The following is a 26,302-nucleotide window of genomic DNA, read 5'->3' on the forward strand; positions in this document are numbered from 1 at the left end:
AGGGAGTTAATATTGTGTAAAAATTAAATTTCCTTTTGGCTCGGTAGGAGGGAGTTCCTGGGTTGAAATTAAGTTAATTCATAGAAAAATATTAACATGTCATATGTCTTGCTACCTAAGTTTGTGACCTAAGATTCTAACTTGCTTCGTGTACATTTTGGAAGATGGAAGAGGAGAGCAGGAAGGACAATTCAGGCATCATTTCAAGATAGAAACCAGCCAGCCAAAGCATGGAGACAAAGATGAGGACATATGCTTCATACTGCAAAGAGACATGAGTCTCCAGACTTAGCCATTCAGAGACTATACTGATTTGATTTTAGAACAGAAGAGATTATTTTTATGAAAACCAGGAACTTCTTAAGTTTGGATTCTTTTCATCTTTTTTTTTTTTTATTGTTGGTCTACCTCCACAAGAAAAGAAATTATTTATTATGTTAAAAAGTTCCTCTTGCCAGTACACTTATGTCTCAAAAGAATGGTTAAATTGCTTTTCCACTTAGAGTTGGAACATGAACAAATTTTATTAAAATTGAAGTTGAGTTTGGTAGTGCAGGGCCAACTGTAAAAAGAAAATCAAGGGCTGTGAAATCATTCTGGTGCTGTCATTTCCCCTCTGAGAGAGGAGAACCCAAGGTGGCTCCATTCATCTCTGGGCCAAGGAAGGGGCAGATGTGTAAATGGGAGGCTGTCAACTGAGCACATTATTACTGAAATGTCATTACTCCAACCACGATGGAGCAGGAGTTACAGGGCAGGTCTGTCTAATTACTAAACTATTGTTATTAAAACTTTTCTCATATTAATTTTGATTTTTCAGAATACAGTAAGGCTGTACAGAATATAGTCTCTGAGCATGATGCTCAGAGATATGAATTCTTAACCGTATGATTTGGAGTCAGTTGATTCATTCAATAAACATTCCCTAAGCAGGCACTGTGCCAGGCACTGTTCCGGGTGTTGAGGATAAGGGAGTGAACGAAATAGCCTTGGCCTTTGAAAAGCTTATATTGTAGAAGAGGAGAAAAAGAAACAAGTAAATGTTTAGCATGTCAGGAGGTGATACCTGCTATGAAGATAAGCTGAGCAAAAGGTGGAAAGTTGTGGAGGGTGCTATTGAAATAGGTTGGGCAGGGGACATTATTTGATAACTTTCAGTAATAGATTGGAAGAAAGTGAGCAAGTGAGCCTTTGAGTATCTGCGAGAAGATCAATCCAGGCAGAGAAAAAAGCAAGTGCAAAGGCCTGAGTGCACATCTGAGGAACAATCAGGAGAACATTAAGGTTAGAATGGGCCAGATATTGAGGGCCCTGTGGGCCATGGTGAGGACTTTTCATTTTATTCTGGGTGAGTGAGATGGAGCAGGATTTTGAGCTGAGGAGTGATATTATCCGACTTGGGCTTCCTAAGGATTGCTCGGGTTTCTTGGTGAGGAATAGACTGTAGGGGCATAAGTGTAAGCTGAGAAGTCAATAAAAAACAGTGTGTAGTCAGTTCATGAGGACGATGGTGGCTTGAATTGTGGAGGCAGGGATGGAAACAGTGAGAAGCTGTAGATAAGCCCATGATGATAATGATGCAGTTCTCTCACATATGGAGCTTCTCTTCTGGGGCTGCCCACTGTAGTGTTTAGCCTTGAGTTTGAATCCAGCACTGCCACTTATACGTTCTTGATGCTGGCCAAGCTTTTCATCAGTGAAATGAAGATCATGACAGTGTCTGTCTTACAAGTTGTTAAGAGGATTGAATGGAAGGCTTTGCACAGCACTGACTTTAGCATTCTGGCACTTTAGTTTTATCATGTTAATGTTAGAAAGCATCAGGAGTTTTGTCATCATGTTTCTTTGTTCTGAACAGCTATTTTTAAATGGATGGTGCATTTTTCAACTGATGGAACATTAGAATTTAGGAAATATATAATATAAAACTAAAAAAATTGGCACACACACTTGTACTGATAATTTATTAGCATTAGCTTTCAGATTTTCAATAAAAGTTATTTTTTCCCTTTTAATTGGGGGTCCATTACTTATTTTTCTGCTTTTTCTTCTTCTAAAAAGAAAAAATAATCTTCCCTCCAGTTTCAAAACTGGAAATCAAACATTTCATCTGGAAATGTATTAGAAATTTATTTTTTTCTTGTCTTACCTACTTCTCTCTGGCTCCATACTGAGTTGTAAATAATATATCAGTTTTTTAAAAATAAAAAGCAAATACCTAATCATATGGGTGTTTTGTGTCTCTGACACTGGAAATATAAATTTTAAATCTGACTTGTCTGAGTTTTTGATGAACAAAACTAATATTGTGTATCATGTAGATACAGCTTTATTAGCCTGAATGAAGCTGCAGTTGTCTTTACCACAGAGGCCTCAGCCCTCTCTAGCTTTTATGTGGCAGTGGGAAGCCAACACAGATGCCAGCACTGGCTCTCAGGGTCTATAAGCCCATGCTGTTCATGTTCCATTCAAGTCAACAAATCTAGTTTTTATCTGTTGTGTGCATAGCACCATGATAGGGTTTCTGCATAAAGCAAAAGAAATATTGAATGCTACTCCTTTCAGCTTTTACCTTTACTGGGGAGACAAAATTTACCTGCTTAATGAGTCGAGAACAATGTTAGATAATGTAAAGTAGATTGCCCATTAAAATTAAAATAATATATCAAACGGAATGTTACAAACCATGGATACCAGCTCACACAATCTTTGTGATCAGCATCAAAGAAAGAGCTGGCCTATGCTTACGAAAGGAGTGGTGTAAAGGCTGGCAGTCCTTGGTCCTGCTGCCCTGTTTGTGATCAACCACATTATCAAGTGTCACAAGCCAGAGATTGCAGGGGCAGAAGAATTCTAGGAACTAAAGAGAATTAGTTCTAGAATTCTAGAATTGTAGGCCTTCACAATTCTAGGAACTAAAGAGAAAGCCAAGTGCCTAGTGCAATGTTTTCTATTGTTCAGGGAGTGAGATTAGTCCTGTGCGTTCTGTTCACACAGCTGCCAAGTACCTCCAACAGGGCTTGTTGAGTGATGAGATTTCAGCAGAATCAATCTTGGCACCATCTCCATCTTCTACTCTGCCCTCAATTTAATATAAAGAAGCAAACTGGAGAAAGAGTGAACGAGAGGACTCTTTGTGCAGTAGTGCAGTGGTCTTTCTCCCCTCACTAATCCTCCTCAAAAAAATGGGGTATTTCTCTCCCTGCCCCCAAGCCAAGAGGGAGACTCCAAGAGAATCACTTATAAAACTTGCCATGACTGTACAACATCTTTAAAATCCAAGATGGTGATGGAATGCCATCTTGATAGTTTTCAAGCCACTGGCTGCTGTAGGGTGTGGAGGAAGGGTCAGGAGAGAGATGGGTGGTATGACATGGGGCAAAGGCATAAGTATGAAGAGTTGTGAAAACAGGATCCCAATTGGTCCTGCAGGCCCTGAACACTGAGCCCAAAGAGATGAGTTTGCAAGCTACAGACTTCTGGGTGGGACAGGGTAGGTATGCACCAGAGGAGTTGATAAGAAGCTATCAGCTTACCTGCTGGGCATGGTGGCTTACGCCTGTAATCCCAGCACTTTGGGAGGCCAAGGGGGGCAGATCACGAGGTCAGGAGTTCGAGACCATCCTGGCTAACACAGTGAAACCCCGTCTCTACTAAAAAGTACAAAAAATTAGCCGGGCGGGGTGGCGGGTGCCTGTATTCCCAGCTACTCGGGAGGCTGAGGCAGGAGAATGGCGTGAACTCAGGAGGCGGAGCTTGCAGTGAGCTGAGATTGCGCCACTGCACTCCAGCCTGGGTGACAGAGCGGGACTCCTCTGACTCAAAAACAACAACAACAAAAAAGAAGCTATCAGCTTATCTCATAAAGGGTCCCACCTCCTAAGAATTGTCCACCAGCATCCACTGTTGGGCTTCAAGAAAATGAGCTAGGGCAGCAATTAGGGCCCAGATGTGGGGAGGACTGGAACTCTCCATGGGCAGAGCAGAAAGGAGACTCCTCCATTTTCTTCATTTTCTTGGATCAACACTATAAGCAGGTGCAAGTGAAAGAGGAGATGGTGTTCGAGGAGCAGAAGACCCCCCACCCTTCTTCTCCTGCTCTTAATGTGCCAGTAGCACTGGATTAGGGTAGGATCAGGGATGGAAAGAGATGGAAATATGAATTAAATATGAGGTCAACATGTTAAAAGCAGCAGGGCTGAATCTTAGAACGTGGTTTAAGAAAAGTGATTTAAACGTCATGGAATTGAGCCAACAGAGGCTCAGTGGAAGCTATCACCCTGTGGAAAAGAGAGAGAGGGTTCCAAGAAGTTGAGTTGAAAGTTGTGAGCAGGAAAATAAAACCAATTGATGTTTATACCCTAACAAGTTAAGGCAAGAGTATGTGTTGTGAGAAAATAGGAAAGGCAAAGATGAATTTTGACCAGAGAGTTATCAAGAAGGCTTCAGGGAGAAGGTAGGGGTTGGGTCCTACCACTGAAGGATAGGTCGTGGGTGAATGAAGTGGGGAGAACAGGTGAGCTGTGTGAGGTGGAGGGAGGACTAGTCTGCCTGGAGCAGAGGCATGGGGAGTGTGACAAGTTGCACCCATGCGCAGACCTGGGCCAGCGGTGGCCAAGCTTCCACAGGAGGAATTTGGCCTCCATCAGAAAGACAATGGGAGTCATTGCATATTCTTTAGCACTGAGTGAGTGGTCCAATAGGAAGGGTGCCTTAGGAAGATGGCTGGTGTGTGAGAGAGAGAAGAAGCAAAGGTGCTCCTTAGGAAGTTATTCCAAACCTCTGGTGTGGGGCTAAGGGACACATCAATACGAGTGTGACTTGTTACTCCTGAATCTTTCCTCAGCCCCATTTATTGACTGCAAATAGTGCAGTGTGCACTTAAGGCCCTTCGTTTTAAGTATTTAAAGGGTTCACTGGGTAGGCAGGCTCTGCAGCCTGTTGACGGCTATCCATTCATAAGCTGCATGTCCCTACCTGGGCAGCAATCAGCTTTGGAGCACCCCACTCATCACACATTTTGTTTATGTTACTTTTCGTTCTCCTGTTATCTATAATTTTAAACTGCCGTGTGCTCCCCCAACCTTGCCTTGAAATGCATTAGTAACTATGGGAACATGATGCTATTAGAACGAGCAGAGCTTAGTGACATGCACAATTGCAGTGTTAAATTGGTTTTGAGATGACTGGCAGTGTGGATGCTATTGCTGAGTAAAATAGGCGACAGGTATTGTGACTATATTAACATAGACCATCACCTCTGGTGGAAGACATGGATATTAAACTTAAGACAGAAATCAGGGCTACATCCTTATCTTGAAGAAGACATGTTCCCAGAGGTTTTAAATAGCGTGAAAAGTGAACTATTGAGAGTTCCAGTAAGAAGGAGACTTTTCATGTGCTAAAACCAACAAAATTTCCCCAAAATATGTAAGTATGAATGCCCATTGTGGCTATGTCAAATATTTCATAATACCAGCACTTCGGGAGGCCGAGGCGGGTGGATCACTTGAGACCAGGAGTTTGAGACCAGCCTGGCTAATATGGTGAAACCCTGTCTCTACTGAAAATACAAAAATTAGCTGGGTGTGGTGGTGCTTGCCTGTAATCCCAGCTACTTGGGAGGCTGAGGCAGGAGAATCGCTTGAACCTGGGAGGTGGAGGTTGCCAAGATAGCATTACTGCACTCCAGCCTAGGTGACAGAGTGAGACTGTCTCCAAAAAAAAAAAAAAAAAAAAAAAAAAAACTCATAATAATGAAATTAGTTCTATGTGCATTCGAGTGGTCAAATTCTGCTATAAAGAAAAAGATTACTGCAGACTCAAAAGATGCAGGTTGACTGCTCATTTGGCCCTCTCCCCAAGGTTTGTGGAAATTTCTCTCAAGGCAGGGAAGGTGTTAACAACTGCCTCTTCTGACAGAAATGGCCACTAGCCTGGCTCCAGCTGGATCAACTAGCCCTGAGGAATTTGTCCACTTTGTGAGCACTTCTCTCCCTGTCTTGTGTCTCCTCAACCCTGCACCTCACCCAGTATTGCAGACTGGATCTTTTTGCTTCACATTTCTGTTTCTTAGGAGGTATCGATGGTCTTATACTTCCACAGCATTAGTAGCAAACAGCAATAGCTCAAATTTATACATTTAAATGAAATCCAATGAAAGAATTTAAGCAAATTCTGATTAACAGTAGACAGTGTAAAAAATAGTATATTATTATCAATTCACTGACATATTTGCTGGATTCAATATTAAAATGGACTAGAAAAAAAATCCAAGTGTTCTGAAAACATTTCCTCCCACCCCTATTTTTTGGCTACTGTGGTAGGTTGAATAATGATCTCCCAAAATCCCTGGACTCTGTGCATGTTCATGGCAAAAAGGACTTTGCAGATGGGATTAAATTTAGGATCTTGAGACGGGAGATTATCCTGGATTATCTGAGTGGTTCTTAAGTGTAATCACAGGTATCTTTACAAGAGTGAAGCAGAGGGATATTTGACTACCAAAGAGCCAGACAGAAGGCGATGTGATGATGGAGCAGTGAGAGATTGAGGATGTCATGCTGCTAGCTTTGAGATGGAAGAAGGGGCTGAGAGCCAAGGAGTGCAACTATGGAAGCTGGAGAAGGCAAGGGAAATGGATTCTTTCCTAAAACCTCCGGGAGGAATCAACCCCGTCTGCATCTTGACTTTAGCAAGTCAAGACTTGACTGAGTTAGGGATTCTGCTCTCCACAACTGGAAGAAAGTAAGTTGGTGTTGTTTTAAGCCACTGTTTTTGTGATAATTTGTGATAGCAGCAATAGGAAATTAATAGAGGTACCCGTCATCATGTTAAAGCATCAAGTTAAAGCACAGAAAATGGAGGGAAAAATATTGTCAGTGTTTGAGTGACCAGAGTGTGGCGTGAAATTCCTTTTTTGAGCACTAGCTCATTTTCACAGTATTGATTTAAGCTCAAAGCCCCCCTTTTCCATGTAGCCTTCTTTCCCCATCTGGTTAGAAGTATTCTCTGTCTCTCACCTCTGTGTGTAACACTCCCATTCCACCTATTTTCTGCTAGGCATAATTACTAGGTATCTGGCATATAAACCTCTTATCTGCCAATTCATTAGTAAACTCCTGCAGGGCAGGGATCCCAACTATACTTTCCTTTGATTCATTCAACCAGTATTTATTGAGCATATGCTATATACTGGGCACAGTTCAGAGCACTTGAGGGGCAGAGTTGGAGGTGAGAGTAAAAAGGCAAAAATGTAGTACATGTATTTGGTATGTTAGGTGCGGTGTCAAAAATGTACAGGGGTTGGGGTCCAGTGTTAACATGCATTGGGTTGTTACTATGTGTCATGCATGTTACCAAGTGCTGATGTTTATTCTAATATAACGCTCCCAACTTCCCTATAAGGTTAGTGCTATTATCTCCATTTTATAGATAAGTAAACAGAGGCTCAGAAAGGAATTCTATCAAAGGCCACCCAACCTGCCTGACTCCAGGGGCCAGCCTCCCCACCATTCTGCATTACTGCCTCCATAAGCCTACCCAGCTAGGAAGCAGTATGGGCAGGATTGCCGAGGATGAGGAAGCCCCATGGCCCTGAGCCAAGATCTTTTACGTCAGAAACACTAAATGCCAAATGCCTATTTTCTGATTAAAAGCTGGTCATAAGTTAAAGACATATGACAAGTGCATAGGTGACTTTAGCTCAAGATGCAAATAATTAATTGCCCTTCAATTTCTATTACAGGCTGAGTGCAGTGGCTCATGCCTGTAATCCCAGCACTTTGGGAGGCCAAGGTGGGTGGATCACTTGAGGCCAGGAGTTCAAAACCAGCCTGGCCAACATGGTGATATCCCCATCTCTACTGAAAATACAAAAATTAGCCAGACATGGTGGCACATGCCTGTAGTCCCAGCTACTTGGGAGGCTGAGGCAGAAGAATTGCTTGAACCGAGGAGATGGAGGTTGCAGTGAGCCGAGATTGCGCAACTGCACTCCAACCTGGGTGACAGAAGGAGACTCCATCTAAAAAAAAAATTATATTGCAACATTTTCTCGGGTCTCCAAAAAATCTGGCATCACGTAAGCAAGAGGCAGGAAACTGGTACATACTTTGTCAATAGGACAATTGCATTACCAAATAATTACATGATATTTCCAACATCAGAGAATGAGTCAGAACTATGGCCAAAGGAAGGTGAGGCTTGTCTCAATGGTGCTATGCGAGTGCCTGCTTTTTTCTCTTATGGTGGCCAGCCTGCCTTGCCAATGGAAAAGGAGGCCATCATCATCTATCTGTAAGCAGGGGTTGGGAGTACTGGGGTATAGGCTATAGTACACTCAGGCACTCAGGGGCTCTGGATTTGCCTCTGCTAGATGATGTGGCATTAGCCAAACCGCTGAGGTTCTTTGGGAGCCCATCTGTCCACCACTTCCACAACCAGGAGCACCTTGCTCACTGAGGTCCCTGGAATTCCTCATGACCTGAGGCTTTACAGATACAAGCACTGGTTCTCATTCCAAGGACCTGTGTCCTGGAATATTATCAAATATCTACTTACCTCCAAGCTGATGTAAAGGAGTGGAATCCATGTTTTTACTATCCCTTACAAAAGCTTTTTTTTTTAATTTCAATCATGACTACTATGTATTTGTATCTCAACTATAGCATAAATGAACCCATTTAAGAAAAACGTTTCTCATTATCTATTCATGTGGGATAAAACCACTTTATAAAAGTATATCTTCATATCTATATTATCATATTCTCTAAAGTTATAGATATGTCTTGTTACACAGAGAACTGATAATGGTGAATACAATTTTCTTACTTTCTAGAATGGTTGAATGTGAATGTGGGGTCCTAATGTTTAGAACATATAAAATTTGAACTGTACATTGAAATATGGGAAAATAATAGTAGATAACCTGACAACATGTTTGTATCATAGAAGAATAATGGTATTCTAATCTACAGAATAAATAAAAGAGAAATTCCGTGTGTTCACATGCACACACATATACATAAATATATACAGAGAGATCTATATCTTAATACAGTTACAAATGGTACAACTCAAAAAAACTAGTTTACATTTATGTAGCAGTCACATCCTTTTAAGGTTGTTTCACATCTCTTTTCTCATTTTTATTCTTACAAGAATCCTGAGGAGTTAAGTGGAACAAGTCTTATTTCCCGCATTTTATAGATGATGAAGCCAAGGCACAGAGAAGCCAGGTGGCTTAGAAAACCAACACCCACCCCCAGCCAAGCAGTGGTAAAGTCAAGTCAGCTCTTTACTGGGCTGGAAGCCTAGACTCTTTTCTTGACACCTCTGCAGAAAATCAACATAGTAGTGACTCTGTTCTAGAAAGTATACCATATTGGTTAAGAGCCTGGGCTGAGGGAAGATCTAAGATCAAATCTTGACTCTAGCATTTACCAGCTGTGCAATCTTGGATGTGTCCCATAACAGGTCAGTCTCAGTAGTTTTCAATCTATAAAATGGGAACTGATTGTACTGTACTTTTCAGGGTTCATAAAATAGATGACACATTCAAAGTAATTGAGAAAATTTAATAAGGGATAAAAGTGTAGGCAGAGTTAAGGGCAGTCAACAAAGGACAGTAAAGCATCCTGTGGATAGCAAAGCAGCTCCCAACCCTGAAGAGGGGAGCAGCTGCCAGCAGCTGAAGAGAGGGTGGTGCCTGTGGAAGAGGGCCCCTGCCAGGAGGCAGGTGACAAAGAGAGGTGCCAGTCCTCAGCCCAAAAGAGCTCAAGTTGGGAGAAGAAATACCAGACTTTACTCTCATCTTACTCTGGGAACCTGACAGAAGCCAGAAGACATGGGAACTCCAAAGATGAAATCCATGAAGGTCAGAGCCCAGGCCACAAAGCAGGGTAAAGAGAGATGGAGAGTGGATCTGCAGAAGCAAATGGAGAATAACCTGCACACAAACCCCGTCTCAGGGTGGAGGCTGGGACGATTATATGAGATAAGATGAGAGAAATGACTAGCACAGGGCCCAGAGCATAAGTTCTCAATAAATGTTAGTTGTTAGAATGATTCTTCTTATTATTATTCCCATTAATATTTGGTGGTGTTTTTCAGTTTCAGGGAGATATTTTTAGAATCTTGGCTGAAAAGAACCGACTTTGATCTGCAACCTAGAATAATTATTCTACTCAGAGGTGGGATAGGTTTGTCAGCAGTTAGAAATACGATTCTAGACATATCCACAGGACTAATTCATAGGCTTATAAAGGAACTTTTGCATGTACATTTTCACATTGCGTCTGGTGACAGTGTAATTAAGATTATGTCAGGGTTTCCATTGTGTCTTGCTATTTTCAAGCTTTTATAACTTGGTTATAAATTTTTGCCCTGGCAAAAACTTGGCTTACTATATCTCAGCCTTTAGATGAAATTTTTTACAGAGAAAAACAATCTGTTAATTGTCTTTCACTTGAGTAATGGAATATATGTGTGTTCATTGTGGGTGTAGATGTGTGTGTATATCCATCCATTAATACGTGTGGTAATAGCTTTGATGTTTTGTCTTCCTTCTTCCCTATCTCGATGCCATTAACCCTGCCACTTAATAAAGGAAATGACTCAAAAAGATGACTCATCCACAATTCCACCTAGCGGAAGAGAAGAAACAAAGAGCAAAAGAGCAGGAAAAGGCAGAAGGGAAAAGAATGGCTATATGACAGATGATTTACAATAGCCTTGCAAATAATTTTTTAATGTATCCCAGCCCTCACACTTTTCACAAAGTCAGTTCCCATTGGAGCTGAAACACGTAACCATTACTCTGCACCCACATGTCTTCTTGGATTTACTGGGAAGGAAAACAATGACTGAGTTAGCAAATAACATTGTAGAGCAAACAGGACCTTCCAGCAATATTAGCATATTGCTTCCATTAAAGCAATATGCTAATTCCCATTCAACTGCTCAACTGAAATTTTAGGCAGGTAGTTAGATATCTAAGATACCTAAGGTAGAGGTACTCCTGGTTATTTACAAAGCTAATCTGCATCTCCAGAATAAAAAGCCAAGCCTGCTTTAAAAGCAGTGACAGAGAGGTAAAAGGAACAGGAAGAAAGCCAAGGAGACCTCAAGTGTGCTGGGTGTCTTTCTTTCTTTCTTTCTGGAAGAGTTCAGTCAAGTGAGAGACAATAGGACTAAGCAGGATAGGGGGCAAAAGCCTTTGCTTTTTAATATACATCCATAGCTCATGATTTTCTATAACATACTTGAAAATACTCAGTTTTCATTTTGGGTTGGATATAAATTTAGAATCGTGGTTGTTAGAAATAAAGGTCTCTGAGGGGTCATCACAAACTCACAGGCCCACAGGGTCCAGGCAGGCAGAGTGAGTGCCCCCGTAGGCCTCTATGAACCTAAAGGAGCAGACCACATGCCCTATCCACAGGGAGTGGACCCCCAGCTTCCCAGCAACTGTTGCTTTGTTGGAATATGGACCCTATGCTGCCAGATCTTCCAAATATTCAAGAGAAGCTGGAAATCTTCTCAAATGTCAACTCCATGAGGGCATGGAGTGTTTTGTCTGTTTGTTTGTAAGTGTGACCCTGGTGCCTATAAGAGCGTATGGCACACAGTAAGCTCTCAAAAAGGTTTTGCTGAATAAATACATGTAGAAAAGAAAGTAGACAAGCAAGCAAGCTGGATTTTTATGTGAATGCTCTTAAATTTTAATGTTGACAAATAGATTTTTGTTTTGCATGGCTTAATTAAAAGTAGGAGCCCACTTCTGGGAGGACCAAACAAAACTAATCTCAGGGCTAGTTGCGATTTGTCACGAAATGCTACTTGGCCATCTCATGTCTAATTCAAGTTCTCTGTGCTGCAGACAAGAAAACCAAGGCCCCAAGACATTAAGGACTTGTTTAAGGGTCACACAGATGATTAGTGGCAGAGCCAGTAAACCAGTTAACTAACCTTCATCTTTAAATTTTCCATTTATAGCTTTTTCTTCCTTCATACCTTGCTGTTATTTCAAAAATAAATACAAAAACAAAAGCAAAAGATTAATAAATAAAGTTATATTCCTTTATAAGATTTCAAAGTATAGCCCAAAGCTTTACAATTAAAAGATAAGTTGCAAGGGAACATGGAACAACTTAGAAAGATACAGGAGGAACCATCCCTCCTGTGATTTTTCATACAGTCAGCCTGGCAGTGAAATAAGCTCTCCTTTCCAATATTTTGTCAGTTAGAGTAGTCCAGGTTATGCTGCAGGTGCAAATAGCCCCAAGATCTCAGCAGCTTTAAGCACAAGGTTTAGTTTTTGCTCACACTACATTTCCTTCATGGGTCCACTGGAAGTTCACTCTGCATTGTCCTTACCCTGGGACCCAAGGTGGCATTGTCCATTGCTGTGGCAGTCTAATTAAGTGAGCATGGCAAATGGTACACTGGCTGTTCAAGCTTCTCCCAGAAGTGATGTTATCACTTCTATTCATTTATTTTTGGGCCTTGTAAGTCACATGGCCATGCCAAACTTAAGAAGGGCAGGGAAGTACAATCCTACCATTTGCTGGGAATGCAGGGGGCCAGAAACACTGGTGAACAGTGCTGTTGATTACCACACACAACTTCACCTGCAGAGCTCAAGAGCCCTGTGAAAAGACACTATTTTCCCTCAATGCATTCTTAGTTTTAGATGATGTCATGAAATGCACTGACTATATCTACATTTTTTCCCTAAGACTAGTGAAAGGAAAACCAAATGTTCTGCTTATCCACATCTCCTATTGGATATTCTCCGTTTTGCCCTCTCTCCTTTAAAATTGTTCCAAATAACCTGGTAATCAAGTGCTTAACCAGATGGAAGGAAACAAAAACTTAGAAATATAGCTTAATTGTAAGTACCATGTTACTATTCTGGGTTTCCAAGTAAGTATACCATCTGCTTTGATGAAGTCCAGTTTTAATGTAGATCATACAGGCCCTCTCCAACTTCGTGAGCATCCTATCCACATAATCAGCCTGCACACTGTGGGCAGGAGCAGGGCTACATCCATCCTGGAAAATGAAGTGTTTTCAGGTACATTATATTTCCTTTCTACATTCTCTGAGGACTCCCCAGGCCATCAGACAGTGCTGTGCACAGGGTGTCAGGGAGCCATGCTTAGCTACTGTGTCCTAGCTGCACTGATAAGAAAAATTTTGATTTGTCAATAATTGAGTTACCCTCAGTTATGCTGCCCTGAATCAAAGCTATTTTCTCTCCTTAATCTAAACTGCGAGCTCCTCAAGGGAAGTACATTTTCCTTAAACAAAATAAACAAAGGCTTACTTGTTTCTGTACTCTTAGAATCTACATAATCCTACACAAAAGATTTATTAAATGAATGAATGAATGGTGCAAGCAATTGATATGAGCTTAAATGCACTGAAAGAAGTTCTTCGCCCAAATATGTTTTATTTGAGGACAGCTTCCTTGGAATTGAGAAAGTGGTGAGAGCCCATACAGAATTCTTGGTATTCTCACTGTGTACAATTCATTTTCTTTTGCCATTTTCCCACAGAGAACATTTGGGAGATCTCAGAGAAAATCTAGAAAGTGGGAGGCTACCGCAGCAGGACTGTGTCCAGTGAAAGACTGGCATGGTGGGAGGCAGAGGGGAGAGTACCAGGAATGTTGCTGAAATAGCTCTTGCTCGTCCCTCTGTCCTTATTGCTCTGGGCTGGCCTACAAAGACACCTCCACAAGGCCTGTCCAGTGGGCTTTGGGAAGCATGGGGAAGTTCTCCTCTCCTCACCATCACGTGTCCACATCTGCCTCCTGCTGCAGGCATCCCCAGATTAGAGGAGGGCATGCTATTTGCTAATAATAATGGCAGAATAAGTCAGCACAAGTGCCTGGCCCAGCACAAGTGCTTGCTTGTCTACTTTTTTTTTTTTTCTACATGTATTTATTCAACCAATAGTCTTTGAGAGCTTACTGTGTGTCATACACTCTTATAGGCACCAGGGTCACACTTACAAACAAACAGACAAAACTCCAATATTATTTGCTAATATTAATAGCAGAATAGGTCGGCACAAGTGCTTGGCCCAGGAAAGAGTGGATGCTGGAGCCCAGTAAGAGAAACTTTTCCCAGACCCCTGTCTGTAGTGCACACTTTTCCTTTCTTTTCTTTTCATTCACATTTAGATAAAATGTTCTTTAGAGCAAATGTTTCTGTGCTGGGCATGGTTTTTTGGTTAAGATTCCTGAATTCCCTGTCTCAAGAATGGCTGCTGTTTGGAGAAGTATAGGGAGTGAAAATGTGGCATGCAAGCCAATCACACCCAGAGGAACCAGTGCAAAAGCAAACACAGAGCCCTTTTTATGTGCAAGATGGGTAATATTGGCCCATTATATCCTCAAGCACATCTCTGAGGCAAATACTCTATTATCTCATTCTAAAGATGCACGAACTCAGAGTTCAACTTGTCAGGACCAAAAGCTACTGAGCGATGGTATTTGAACACAAACAGCACTGCTCTAGCATTCTCAGCTGCGATACTAGGCTTCCTGCTTTATATCCTTTTTCCCTTATGCTTCCAGTTTTTCTTTACAAGAATATACATTTCAGAACAAAGATTTATGTGGGTATTTTGGGAATGCATATACCTTTTATACAATTTATAACATTGTTTTAATATCAAAATGCATTCTGAGTTCTAAACTCTCAGCTTGCAAATAAACTTTTGGGTCTCACTCTATTTGTAAGCTGGATTTTGTTTTTGGTTTTTAATTTCATTTTAAATTTTAGGTAGTTAAAACTGTGTTTTAAAGAAACCAGGCAGTCTGGTTCCAGAAAGTCAAGATCCTTTAACATACCTTAGAATTTAAAAGATAGATCTTAAGAGATGCATCTTACTTGTTTGTTACGTTCCAAAATCATTGCATACAGAGAAAACCATGTGTCAAAACTACCCTTGAAAATAGGAAGGCTCCACACTAGAAGCCAACTTAACCACCTCCAATGTGGGAACAAACTATGGTTACTTCTGCTGAACACTAGGTGAAGTAGCCAGCATTTAGGGACACAAACAAGTGCATAACTTCAGGATCCCTTCAGCCTAGTGAGATGCTCACTCGCACAGCGACAGTCACAAAGGACTGGGTCCAGCTGAGCAAACACAAAGGGCAGATTCTCCCAGCTCATACTCGTCCCAGAACAGTTCTTAGATGAAGGAAACCACCAACAGAATGGTTTTGATTATTCTCCTGTCACTTTTCTGCCCCCAGTGTGTTTTATCAAATTTGAATATGTTAAATGAACGTTTGATGTGACTGAACTCAAAATATGTACAGTCAGCCCTTTGTAGTTATGGGTTCTGCATCCAGGGATTCAACAAACTGCAGTTTGAAAATATCTGGGAAAAATAAAAGAACAGTTGGATCTGTACCAAACAAGTACAGACATTTTTCTTGTCATTATTCCCTAAACAATACAGTGTAACAACTATTTACATAGCATTTACACTGTATTAGGTATTATAAGTAATCAGAGACTATTTAAAGTATACAGGAGGTTGTATGCAAATACTACACCATCTTAACTTGAGCTTCTTATATCCATTGTAGGTCCTGGAACCAGCCTTGCACAGAGACCGAGAGATGACTATATATAGTGATGCAGGTCAATAGGAAACTTAGGGTCTGAGAATGATTTTAAGATAATCACAAAAGCATTCTAATTCTTATTCCTTTACCTGCTTCTGTAGAACATTTTAATATTTAACAGAACCACTGGTTTCCAAGGGATTCCCTTTAGAAATGCAGTATTAAGAGACGGAGGCATTACTGACTGCTCCAAGTACTTCTGGGGTTCCGATACCTCTTGCCTAATGAGCCTCTTAGCCCATGTCAGTTTTTAAGTCCACATATCTGAGGAGACTACACTATAGGAGAAGCTGCTTGGATTTTGAGTGATCAGCTCTTCTTTTATTAGAAGATGATGCTACCGATGTGCCAAGAAGAAGCTCATATTTTAAATTATTTTTCCAAGAGTGTGAATCTGCACCAATCAGCAACACCTTTCTACTAGCATCCGCTTGGTGCACTGATCAGCAGGCCCTTTGCCTTAGTTGTGGATTTACCTTCTATTATTTGACTCCTAAATTCTTCTTAATTTTTTTAAGATTGGGGGCTCACCTATGTAAGAAATTAATTCTTTTGTTACTCATATTGGTGTATAAATATAAGTGGTTTTCAGGAAGATTCTTTAGGTAAAGTGGTAGATATGAAGGACCAATGACTGGAGTGGGTTTTCAAAGTGTCCTTTGAAAAAGCATAAAACTGAAATACTTGTACTGTTTCATTGGTGTTCGGGGAGAAATGACACTTGCATTTATTAGACTTCTCCTTTATCCAGTGTATACAGATTTGTGTTTATTTACATCATCCCAGTAGAACTCTATGTCATAAAACTGTAAAAATGCTTAACTCAATCATTCATGTACTTGGTTTTATCTTCATTCTGTCTGTACATTGACCCCCATGTCCTAAGTCTTTCAACCATTAAAAATAGTATTAGAGAAGTATTTTTTAAACAAATCCCTTGATCCTATGTGAGATCTGTGTCATTCTGAAGAGAGGATGTGAGGTGTTTCTTTTATGTTGGTAAAGGTTGAGTTGCCATGGTAATGACTTATTGTGCAATATTGGGAGACGTGCTTTAGGAACATGGCATGTGGCAACCCCATATTGGGTTCCTGTTATTATAGTCGTGTCATACCTTGACTTTTCTTGGTCCCAAACAATCTTTCCATCTTTTATACTATCCGGAATTTGCATTTCTAGTGTAAAGCTTCCTTTTTACTGCTTCCTGTTGCTTTTAGAACAACCAAAAAGAGAATTATTATGGAAATGGCTTTTATTAAGTATGATAGAGAAACAAAGTTCCCATGATTTTTACAGCATTTTCAAACATGTAGAGTGCTTTGCTTTTAATTTCTTCAGTTATGCATTGTTACTACTTTTTAAAACCAAGGAACATCACATAGAACAATTATCAAAAACCAGAATAATTTATTTTGCTTTTTTTTTTCTCTCACTTCCTCAGGACTGCACATATGTTTCATGAAAATACATGAAGAATTAGGTGTGCTTTTAGGGTATGATCAGAAATGTGAGTCTGAATTAATAGAAAAATTGAAACCATAATCTAAGCCCTGCTATATCAGCATCTTTTTTAGCTGAATGGATAGACATGTATTTTCACTTAAATAATTCAAGTTCATCCTGTCCTTGGCAACAGTTTGGTTCTCACAAGCCTTTAGAGTCCAAGCTATATTTTCTATATTAGTCTATATTACAATGCGCTTTAATTAGGAGGCATAATAGGTAAGTAGAAAGTGGTTTCATTAAGACCTTGCTCTATAATTTTCACTCATCTCCAGGGAAATGTTGCCCATGTATGTTTCCCATGAATCGGTGCCATTTTAGTGATTATGTTGAACAGGTTTTTCAGAGGACACCTCATTTATTCATGCATTTACTCATTCAATAGATACTATTGAGCACCTACTTTGTGCCAAGGATGCTAATTTGATGCCACACGCTCACTTGACTGATGGAGTTCTCAAGTTCGGAACTGATACCAAGTGGGAGCCAGCAGTCACAGGCCTCTCATGTTTCCCAGGCTTTGCTAGTTTGGGGACTTTTCCTCAGACCCTCACAGTCATATTCATTTTTCAATGGCTCTTTATCACAATATCACTCATTCACTCAACTGGCATTAGTTAGGCCAGGCTTTCTACCATGCTCAGGTAATAAAAAGACCAGGGTAGTCCCTGCCCTAAGAGGCTTAGTCCAGACCCTTTGGAATCCAGTTCTTGAGAGTGTGAGTACAGGGGAGCTCCTTTTCTTATTAACCCCACTAGAATCATAGGTTTTCTTCAAACTCTTTCATCTCTTCAATTCTCCCCTCCCTTTGCTCCTCCAAGCAAGGCCTTATGAGGGTACAATTCCTGAAAATCATGGCACTGAACTTCATTTGCCCAAGGGCACCCAATATAGTATATGGGATAACAACTTTCATTTATGGAGGGTTTGTTATATGCCAGATTTAGTGTGAAATACCTTACACCTACTGGCTCATTTAATCCTCACAAAACCATGTGAGGTGGATACTACTATCATTCCTGTCTTACATATGAGAAAATCAAGGTTCAGAGTAACTGTTCTGAGATCTCTTAGGTAGATAAGTGGAAAAGCTGAGATCTAAACGCAATTTTGTCTGACTCTGGGGCTCAAGCTCTTAAACTTTGCAGTACAGTCATAATTACTCCATGGCAAGTTATGGGTCCCACTGTAGTGTTCATTCTCTTTTATAAACTGATATCCATGACACTATTTTTGTTACACTTTATTGAGAAGCACGTCTCTTACTTTTAAATCTCTTCCAAAGTAAATGTGATTCGTAGACCTAGGAAGAGGAAGTGGATACTATTATTTGATGGATTTCAGAAAGATTTAAAAATTAAGTAAACAAAATAACTTATCTTTCCTTTGGATACTTGTTCCATGTTTTTAAAAAATATTTTATATATTAATAAATGTATATTAAATATAACATTTCTATATTAAAGAATGTAAGCGTTCAGCATAACATGAAAGTCTGAGATATGTATTGCCAAATTAAAATTATCATACTGGCCAGGTGTGGTGGCTCACACCTGTAATCCCATCTCTTAGGGAGGCAGAGATGAGAGGATAGCTTGAGCCCAGGAGTTCGAGACCTGCCTGGGCAATATAGCAAGACCTTGTTCTCCACAAAATGGAAAAAAATAAAATAAAATAAAATTGTCATACCAACTCAGGAATGCACATATATTTTATTTATTTAACCTAATTAGGTTTTATAATTGCACAAAACAAACTTCTCCTCATATTTCCTCAAGTAAGTTGGGGTTTACAAAAAGGATACCCATAAGATAATGAACCATGGATGACAGGAATCTTACAGGACTCCAAAGAAAATAATCATAGAATAGCCAGTTCTCCCCTAGAGTGGATACTAGGCAGCTCTAGAAACTTCAGAAGCAGGGGTTAGTTCATCATGCCTTGGGTGCTTCTCCACCAGTCATGCCCAGCTACTCTGGGGGTCTGCTCCCCTCTCCTGCATCTCTGACTTGCTTATTCATTTCTTCTTTCCCGTATTTTTGCCTTGTTGCATTGGATGTGCTTATTTATAACCCCTAACTGTCTTTGACATGGCATCTCTATACATCTCTTAAACTGCTGCCCTACCTCCTAACAACTTCATTTTCTCAGGATATTCTAGCTAAAATTTCTATGAGAGAGGATCAGATATGCCCAGCTTATAACCATTATCTCTGTCTAGGCAGAGTTCTGACCATATGTCATAGAATATTGGCAAATATATAGATGTCTCAGGCCTGTAGGGAGGTGCCCACTCTGATCCCAGATGCTTTCAGTGCACAAGAGTAGTAATGGCAAGGAATGGGATTCTCATGATGAAAAACATTACATTCTCAGTAATCCTTCAGCAATGTGGTCTACTCTGACTCTATGAGATCTGGCATCTAGCAACTTCTCCAACCTCAATTCTTATCACTACTCTCCCTATTCAGCATACTACAACTATGATACAGTCTCACCATTCCTCACTGCAGCATGCTCCTGCCTGAGGACCTTTGCACTTGCTGTTCTCTCTACCTGGAAAGCTCTTCTCACAGCATTTGGCATGGCTCCCTTCTGTACTTCATTCAGTTCTCTGCTCAGATATTTCCTCCTCCTTGAGATCTTGTCTGGAACCACTGTTTAAAGTGGTAATCACTGTCATTGTCTATCTCCTCACCCCATTTATTCTTCTTTATAGCGTTGACCACTACTTGGTATAACTTTAATTATTTGGGGTCTTTTTTGTCTTCTCCCATTAGAACATATAATTAAGAGTAGAAACAACATTTATCATGTTGTAGCTCAGACTCCATGCCCTGAAAAGCAGATAAGAAACAATTGACAGGAATACTGGCTCGCAAACCTCTCTGTGTCTAAGTAGGATTCTCTTTGCAAAGTTTACTACACCAAATTAAACATATTTTAAAAAATCTGGTTAAGGCAAACGTAAGAGCAATAATAAAATAGCATGTCTCTATGGTTGTGATTCAGCCCACTGACATATTCAATATTTGAAAGACAGCAGAAGAATTTTGTGTTAATATCAGTCACTTTATTTCCTTCTTGATCTGAGACTTAGAATTCACCTTAATCTGCCCGAAATAGACAGAAGTGCATGTGTTGAGGCCATACAATCCAAATGCCTTGTCTTTGAGTAGATATGACTACCTTGGAACATGGCTTGAAAGGCATTTTCTCAATAATGTATTTTTTTAAGGATGATCCATAATGAGATAGATCAGGATATATTAATTTCTATATGCTAATATTAGCATCATACTTTGAGAAATATGATTTCAAGCCATATTTAGCAAGTTAGATATACCATTAATTTATTAACCCATATATAATGTGTACTGTGTGTCACGTATTGTGTTACTGATGCAGATATAGTACTATGGGCTAGATCCGGGGCTTACATAAGTAAGTAACTCATGGCCCTATCATCAAGCAAGCATTCATTGTAGCATGGGAATTGGAAATATGAACAAATAACTGAATATCTAGGCTTATGGGATCTATTAGAGAAATATCCCAGGCACAGAGTTGGCACAGAGTAGAAAGTGGTCAGCTGTATCTTGGAGTCAGGGGAAATGGAGAAGACAAAGATTAAAAACATTTCAGGAGATGATTAAGACAACAGGAGGCAAGCATTCCAGATAGGTGGCTTTCTTCATTCCTGCTTATCTCCCTTGTTTCAAGTTCTTGACTCTCTACCATAGCTTTCGTGTCTCCCTCTGGTGCTCACCCAGCATTTGTTTCCCCAGTTCTGCATAGCTCTTAACTTTGCCTGTGACTTCCATCTGGGATCTCATGTTGTCTAACTCCTGACTCCATGGAATTATGCTCCCTACACCTGCCCACCACCCCAAAATTCTAGCCCAACAGCCAACATTCCTTCCCATCCACACTTCTCCATACCTCATAACATGAAAATTTAGGCAAGAACAACATGGACAAAGAAACAAAGACACAAAAATGCTTGGCCTATCAGGGAGCTGCATGTCGTTTGCAGTGGGATAGCAGATAGGAAACAAGGACGATGGTAAATGAGGCTGGATAGTGGAAGTAGATCATGAAGGGCTTGGTATACCACTTAAAAAGAGTTTGGGCTCTATTCTACAGGCCGTGATGAGCTGTGAAATGTTTTTGAGGAGGAGCTATAGCAGAAGCTTGGAGGTTGGATTGAAAGAACGTGTCGTTTCTGGGAAAACTACAATGAGATAAACACCTCTTACGGACACTGATCTTATATTAACACCTCCAAATCCACTAGATTTCCCAAAGTGTTGTCTCATCTTTTGCACGTGTTGCTATTGTGGTTAAGTCATCTGGATATGAATTTGGTGCTCCTTTATTATTTAGCTGGGTCACCCTATCCTGTAGTTATGTCGTTATTGTATTAAATACTACTAATTATAAGACATAACTGTTGTTGAGTTGAGTTTCATCAAGTTAGTTTCAGCTCATTGTTGCAGCTTGTCTGTCCTTTCTACTTGTAGGCCGGGTACAAATTCCATAGTTGCATCTTCTGATCTCTGTAGAATTGTTAATAGAGTTGTTGAACAGAGTGCAGTATAGCGTAGAAAAGCATTGCACAGAAGCATTAAGGATTTCCTTCCAGGGAGAAATTGATCTATAATTCAATAGGCTTTGAGTAAGTTCTTAAGTCAGCTACAAAGCCACTTGGCTCCACAGTCTACCTGGTGAGTCTTTGCCTTGTTGAAATGGAGTTGTTTGATATTTGTATTATTTCTATAGTCTATCAACTTATTATAGTATATCTAGACATTTGGTATCCAAATGGGAAAAGATTCTACCTTTTGATATTATCAAAATTTTCTATAGTGAGTTCTTTTCTAAGTGGGAAGTTACAGTGCGGTTTAAAAAAAACTTCCTTTTGCTGCACTTATCTTTTTGCTGGTGACAACCTTGTATTCAGCCAGTCAACTTGAGATCTCTAATATCTTCAGGGTGAGTGGAATTGAAGACCAAAAACATGAGATGCTTGACTTTAAAGGTCAAAATATCAAGAGGCAGGGCGAAAATTTGAAATGCCTTGAGATCAGACAGAATTTGTCCCCATCTTCCCCTTCCTTCCCCCACCACCTAATGTGGACATAAGATAAAGGCACTCTGAGCTGGAAATGGGATGGAGAAGTAGGAAACAAGAGATTGAGATGCTGGGGCAGGGGTGGGGGAGCAGGGGATGATTGCCTGCCTACAATTCTTCAAGTCCAAGAAAAGGATGGAAATCTACTGAACTCTTCTACATTTAGAGATCCAAGAGTAGAGGGATCCCCGGGAGAGAACCCCCCAACAGCTGGGCCTTATGCACCAGTGGCATGAGATGGGAATAGGTTGGATAGTAGATTAGGAATGACTACAAGGGGTCTCTTGGACAGAGCATCCTAAGGGGGACACATGGAGCCATCTGTGGCCTGAGAGGAGTGAGGGAGGACAGCTAAACTCTCTCAGTGTCCCAAGTAATGTGAGAATTTGGCTAAGGAAGAGAAAGAAGCTGAAAAAGGAAGCCATTTCACTCTTGCCAAGAGAAAACATCAGAGAAGAGAGCCACAGGGACCATCCAATAGAAGATGGTAGAAAGACCAGACTAGAGACTCTTAGCAAATGTGGGTGTAGACACAACTCTCCTTTGAATATCTTCCATTAATTCCACATTTCAAGGGAGTCCAGACCAGGCTGGGTTAAGATTTAGAAGTAAATGCTTTCCTTTTTCAACACTTGCATTTACATAAGCTCAGAGTTTATAATCAACCCCACGGAAAATGGGGTAAATAGAGAAAGGAATTCTGAATGAAACAGAGTTTTAATTCCAAAATAACTTTGAAATCATGAAATTTCATTAATTTCCCGAAATAGAATTAAATTTTCTGAAAATGAGGCCTTCAGAAAAAAATTTAAAACTTGTTTTTTCACAAACTTAAGTGTGTAAAATATATCCCATCCCCCCTTTTATAATAAAGTGGGGAGAAACAATGAAAAGTGAGGAAATTGGACTTTCTATGGCTTATGATCAAATCCATGTTGGTGGCTAATTATAAATTATAACCTTTTCCTCAGCTAAATGCATATCCTTAGCCTAGGAATCAGCATTCGCCTTATCAGTGTTGTTTCCAGGGCCCATTTCTTCCCATTAAAAAAGAAAAATCAGAGCAGCATCGGCCTGTTTCCTCCCTTTAGGCACTTCTCTTTACCATGATTGCTCTCAGAGCCCTGACAGTTTCCACAATCCAGGTATCTACACTGTTGGAAGATGACCAGGAAGGCTTCCAAAAAAAATTCTTTTACAGCCACAAGGGTATTTTACTCTGTTGCCCCCAGTGCTAGGTCTTAGTTCCACTTTGAATCATTTCTTCTGACGTTTTCACCTTGAGACTATTTTCACTTAATGGAGCAAGATGAGCTCAAAAGGACAGCTCAGCAATTCTGTTCTGGTTGTCACTAATCCCATTACATCACCTATCCCAAGCAGTGACCATTCTTTCATCATTTCCCTAAGGCAATGCCTGACCCAGGTAGATGCAAAGAAAATCTCTGTTGAGTGAACGGAGCTCCAAGCATGTTTTCTGTGGTCCCTGAGCCTTTTTCTTTTGTCTTTTAGTGCTTTTGGTAAGCCTCAGCTCACTTCTGTCCTCCCAGGGCACGCTGCATGGCTTCTCAAAGCTTCCAGGCCTTTCAAGCTTTATAGCAAAGCCCTTGGCATTCCTTTTCTAGGTTACTATTTTGGTGTTCCTCTTATGGAATGTTCCCCTTATATCTATTAAAACTACTTTCTAAAAACAAAAAACAGTTGTGTGCAGGGTAGGGAGACTGAACCTCCTTCTCATCCTGAGCGTAGCCATCACCTTAGCCCAGGAAGAGGTTCTTGTGGGCAGGGGATGTGGCTCTGCCCTCAGGCTGGAGAGGGGCTCCTTGTCCATCACTGATAATCAGTCACTGGAAACCTGCTCCTAGGACCCTTGAAGTGACTGACTGGCTTGCAAACAATATTTTCTAACCAGTTATTTAAAACTATACTAAGATCCTTTTCTGAACACTTAACAGCACCAGCGATCATGTAGATGTTCTAACAGTAGGAAACACATTCCCGTTTGGGTTGGTATTCAGACACAACTAATGAAGAGTGGAGCTGAAGAATGGAAAAAATCAGGGGTGGTGGGGGTGGTTATTGTGCAGATCAGTGGTACCGAATTGCTGGACAGAGGTCCAAGCTAGTTCAGACAGAAGATTCTAACAGTGCATGGCAAAATGAGTAAAATAAAAACAAAGGAGTCGTTTTTTAAAGCTAACGTTCAATGTAAAAGAATACCCTTTCATTTCTTCTTAAGAGAATTTAAAAAATATTTTGACATATAGACACATACATAATTTTACATAAATGAGGGCATATAAATGATTTTTAAAGTAAAATTTAGAGTATTTTCTTTCACTTTTTTATGGTATTACAATGGCTTTTTTTTTAAATTATGAAACCCTGATAATAGCAGATAGTGGTGGGCATTTTGCTGCATGTTAGCTATGTCCATGTTTGGCAGAATAAAAGTTAGCAGTCTTATGTCTATTTCCCAAATTCTTTTAGATTGCCTACTTGTCCTTGAAATCCAGACACCTGGAAGCCCCTGGTGTTGATGAATTCCCCATGAACCAAGTTTAGCGGCAGGGGGTCAAATTTTCCAAACAGTCTTGTGTTCTGAAACCTACCAGGATGAGCCAGACAAACATTAAGAAAGGGGTTGTATACCTACACACAAGTCAGCAGTGGCCTGGAAATTCTCCCTGCTCTTGTCAGAAGTACCTGAACTCAGGATATCTAAGGCTGGGATGCACAGGACTTCCCTGCAGCCTTCCTTCAGTTCATCACATGTGAATATCTGCTATAACTTGATGCAATACTCTTGATTGGAATGACTTGACACATTTTATACAAAAATAAACTATGAATAGTATGTGGGGTTTTTAATTAAAATGAGTTTGGTTACCAAAAAAATTATTCATTTCTGGGCTTTATGTGTTTGAATTCTTATTTGAATGGTATGTTTTATAATATAAAACATTAATGAAAGTTTACACATGAATTAAAAGGGGTCAGGCATAAATAGTTTGATGCCCAGATTTTCTTGCTTTCATACAAGGATCCCACCCCTTCACCAAATTGTTTTTATCAAGTTTAGTCATCCAATTTCTTTTCATGAAGTGAAATCCTTTATACTCTAGTCCTTTAACCCTCTCAATTGTACCGTATTTACCCATAAACTTGTGCATTACATTTACTTGGAACTGGTCTGTTGTAGAATAGTGCTCCCTGCCTAGTGTAGTGGGTTAGTTTCAACCAGTATTTGCCAATGTTCACTGTGGTACAAGCACAGTTTTTCAGAGTGTCGTGACATCTGCTATAAGGAATGTCTCCAACTGCCAAACGGGACCAAGGCTTCCATGCTCAATAAACTTCCACCTGCCCTAGAGATGCAGTAATTTCCCTCCAGCAATCAGAGCACAGTCAGACCCAGATGTCTGAGTTTTCTTTTCGAAAATATGACCATTGTGATACAAACCCATTGGGTAAAATTTTAAAATAATAATAAAATTGTGGTTGATTGTTGTGAAAACTTCCTTACCCTTAAGTACTTAGTGCTATGTATGATCTGAGATTTCCTCTGGGGAGATCAACTTTTTTCCCCTGGATTTTATGATTGTTTATTTCCTGGTTTCCACAACCAAGTTTATTCAGAAGCTTAAATGTGAAACTGTTCTCAAAATTATGTATCTTTTCCTTGATTTCTCTATTAACACTTTGTGGAGTTGGCCTTGCCAGGTAAAGCCTCAAGGAGCTTTGAAGCTGGCCTGAGATAAAATGGGAATGGAGTGAAAATGTGTCTGGGTAGTACTCCTGCAATCCAACCCCACTTAGGCATCATTTCTCACTCCTTCGTCCTGTCTTACCCTACTCTTTTTACTTTGGAAGATGGAGTAAATGCACACACAGTGGGACAAAACTTCAAACAGTAAAAAAGAATACATAGTCACAAGTAAGTTTCCCCCTTTTGGCTGTCCTGAGTTCCTCTACGCTGGACTGTAACCAGTTTTCTATGCATTCTAACAGTC

General features: G+C 40.2%; 1 protein-coding gene across 8 annotated transcripts in view, besides 2 other annotated features; it reads left to right on the forward strand.

The window, feature by feature from the left end:
• KCNAB1 (potassium voltage-gated channel subfamily A regulatory beta subunit 1) overlaps positions 1-26,302 on the forward strand; it is a 420,928-nt gene that overhangs the window by 188,774 nt on the left and 205,852 nt on the right. The gene's annotated exons all lie outside the window — the stretch shown is intronic.
• Positions 4,430-4,931: an enhancer, noted in NCBI's record as "NANOG hESC enhancer chr3:156029203-156029704 (GRCh37/hg19 assembly coordinates)". NCBI's record gives its function as "activates a minimal SCP1, AML or CMV promoter by ChIP-STARR-seq in naive H9 embryonic stem cells {active_cell/tissue: H9 hESC(naive)}" and the evidence as "EXISTENCE:reporter gene assay evidence [ECO:0000049][PMID:30033119]".
• Positions 9,776-10,975: an enhancer, noted in NCBI's record as "P300/CBP strongly-dependent group 1 enhancer chr3:156034549-156035748 (GRCh37/hg19 assembly coordinates)". NCBI's record gives its function as "activates an origin of replication core promoter dependent on BRD2, BRD4, P300/CBP, MED14 and CDK7 cofactors, with strong dependence on P300/CBP, by STARR-seq in HCT116 cells {active_cell/tissue: HCT116}" and the evidence as "EXISTENCE:reporter gene assay evidence [ECO:0000049][PMID:35650434]".

Source organism: Homo sapiens, chromosome 3 (genome assembly GCF_000001405.40).
Source record: "Homo sapiens chromosome 3, GRCh38.p14 Primary Assembly".
In the NCBI taxonomy this organism is placed as follows: domain Eukaryota; kingdom Metazoa; phylum Chordata; class Mammalia; order Primates; family Hominidae; genus Homo; species Homo sapiens.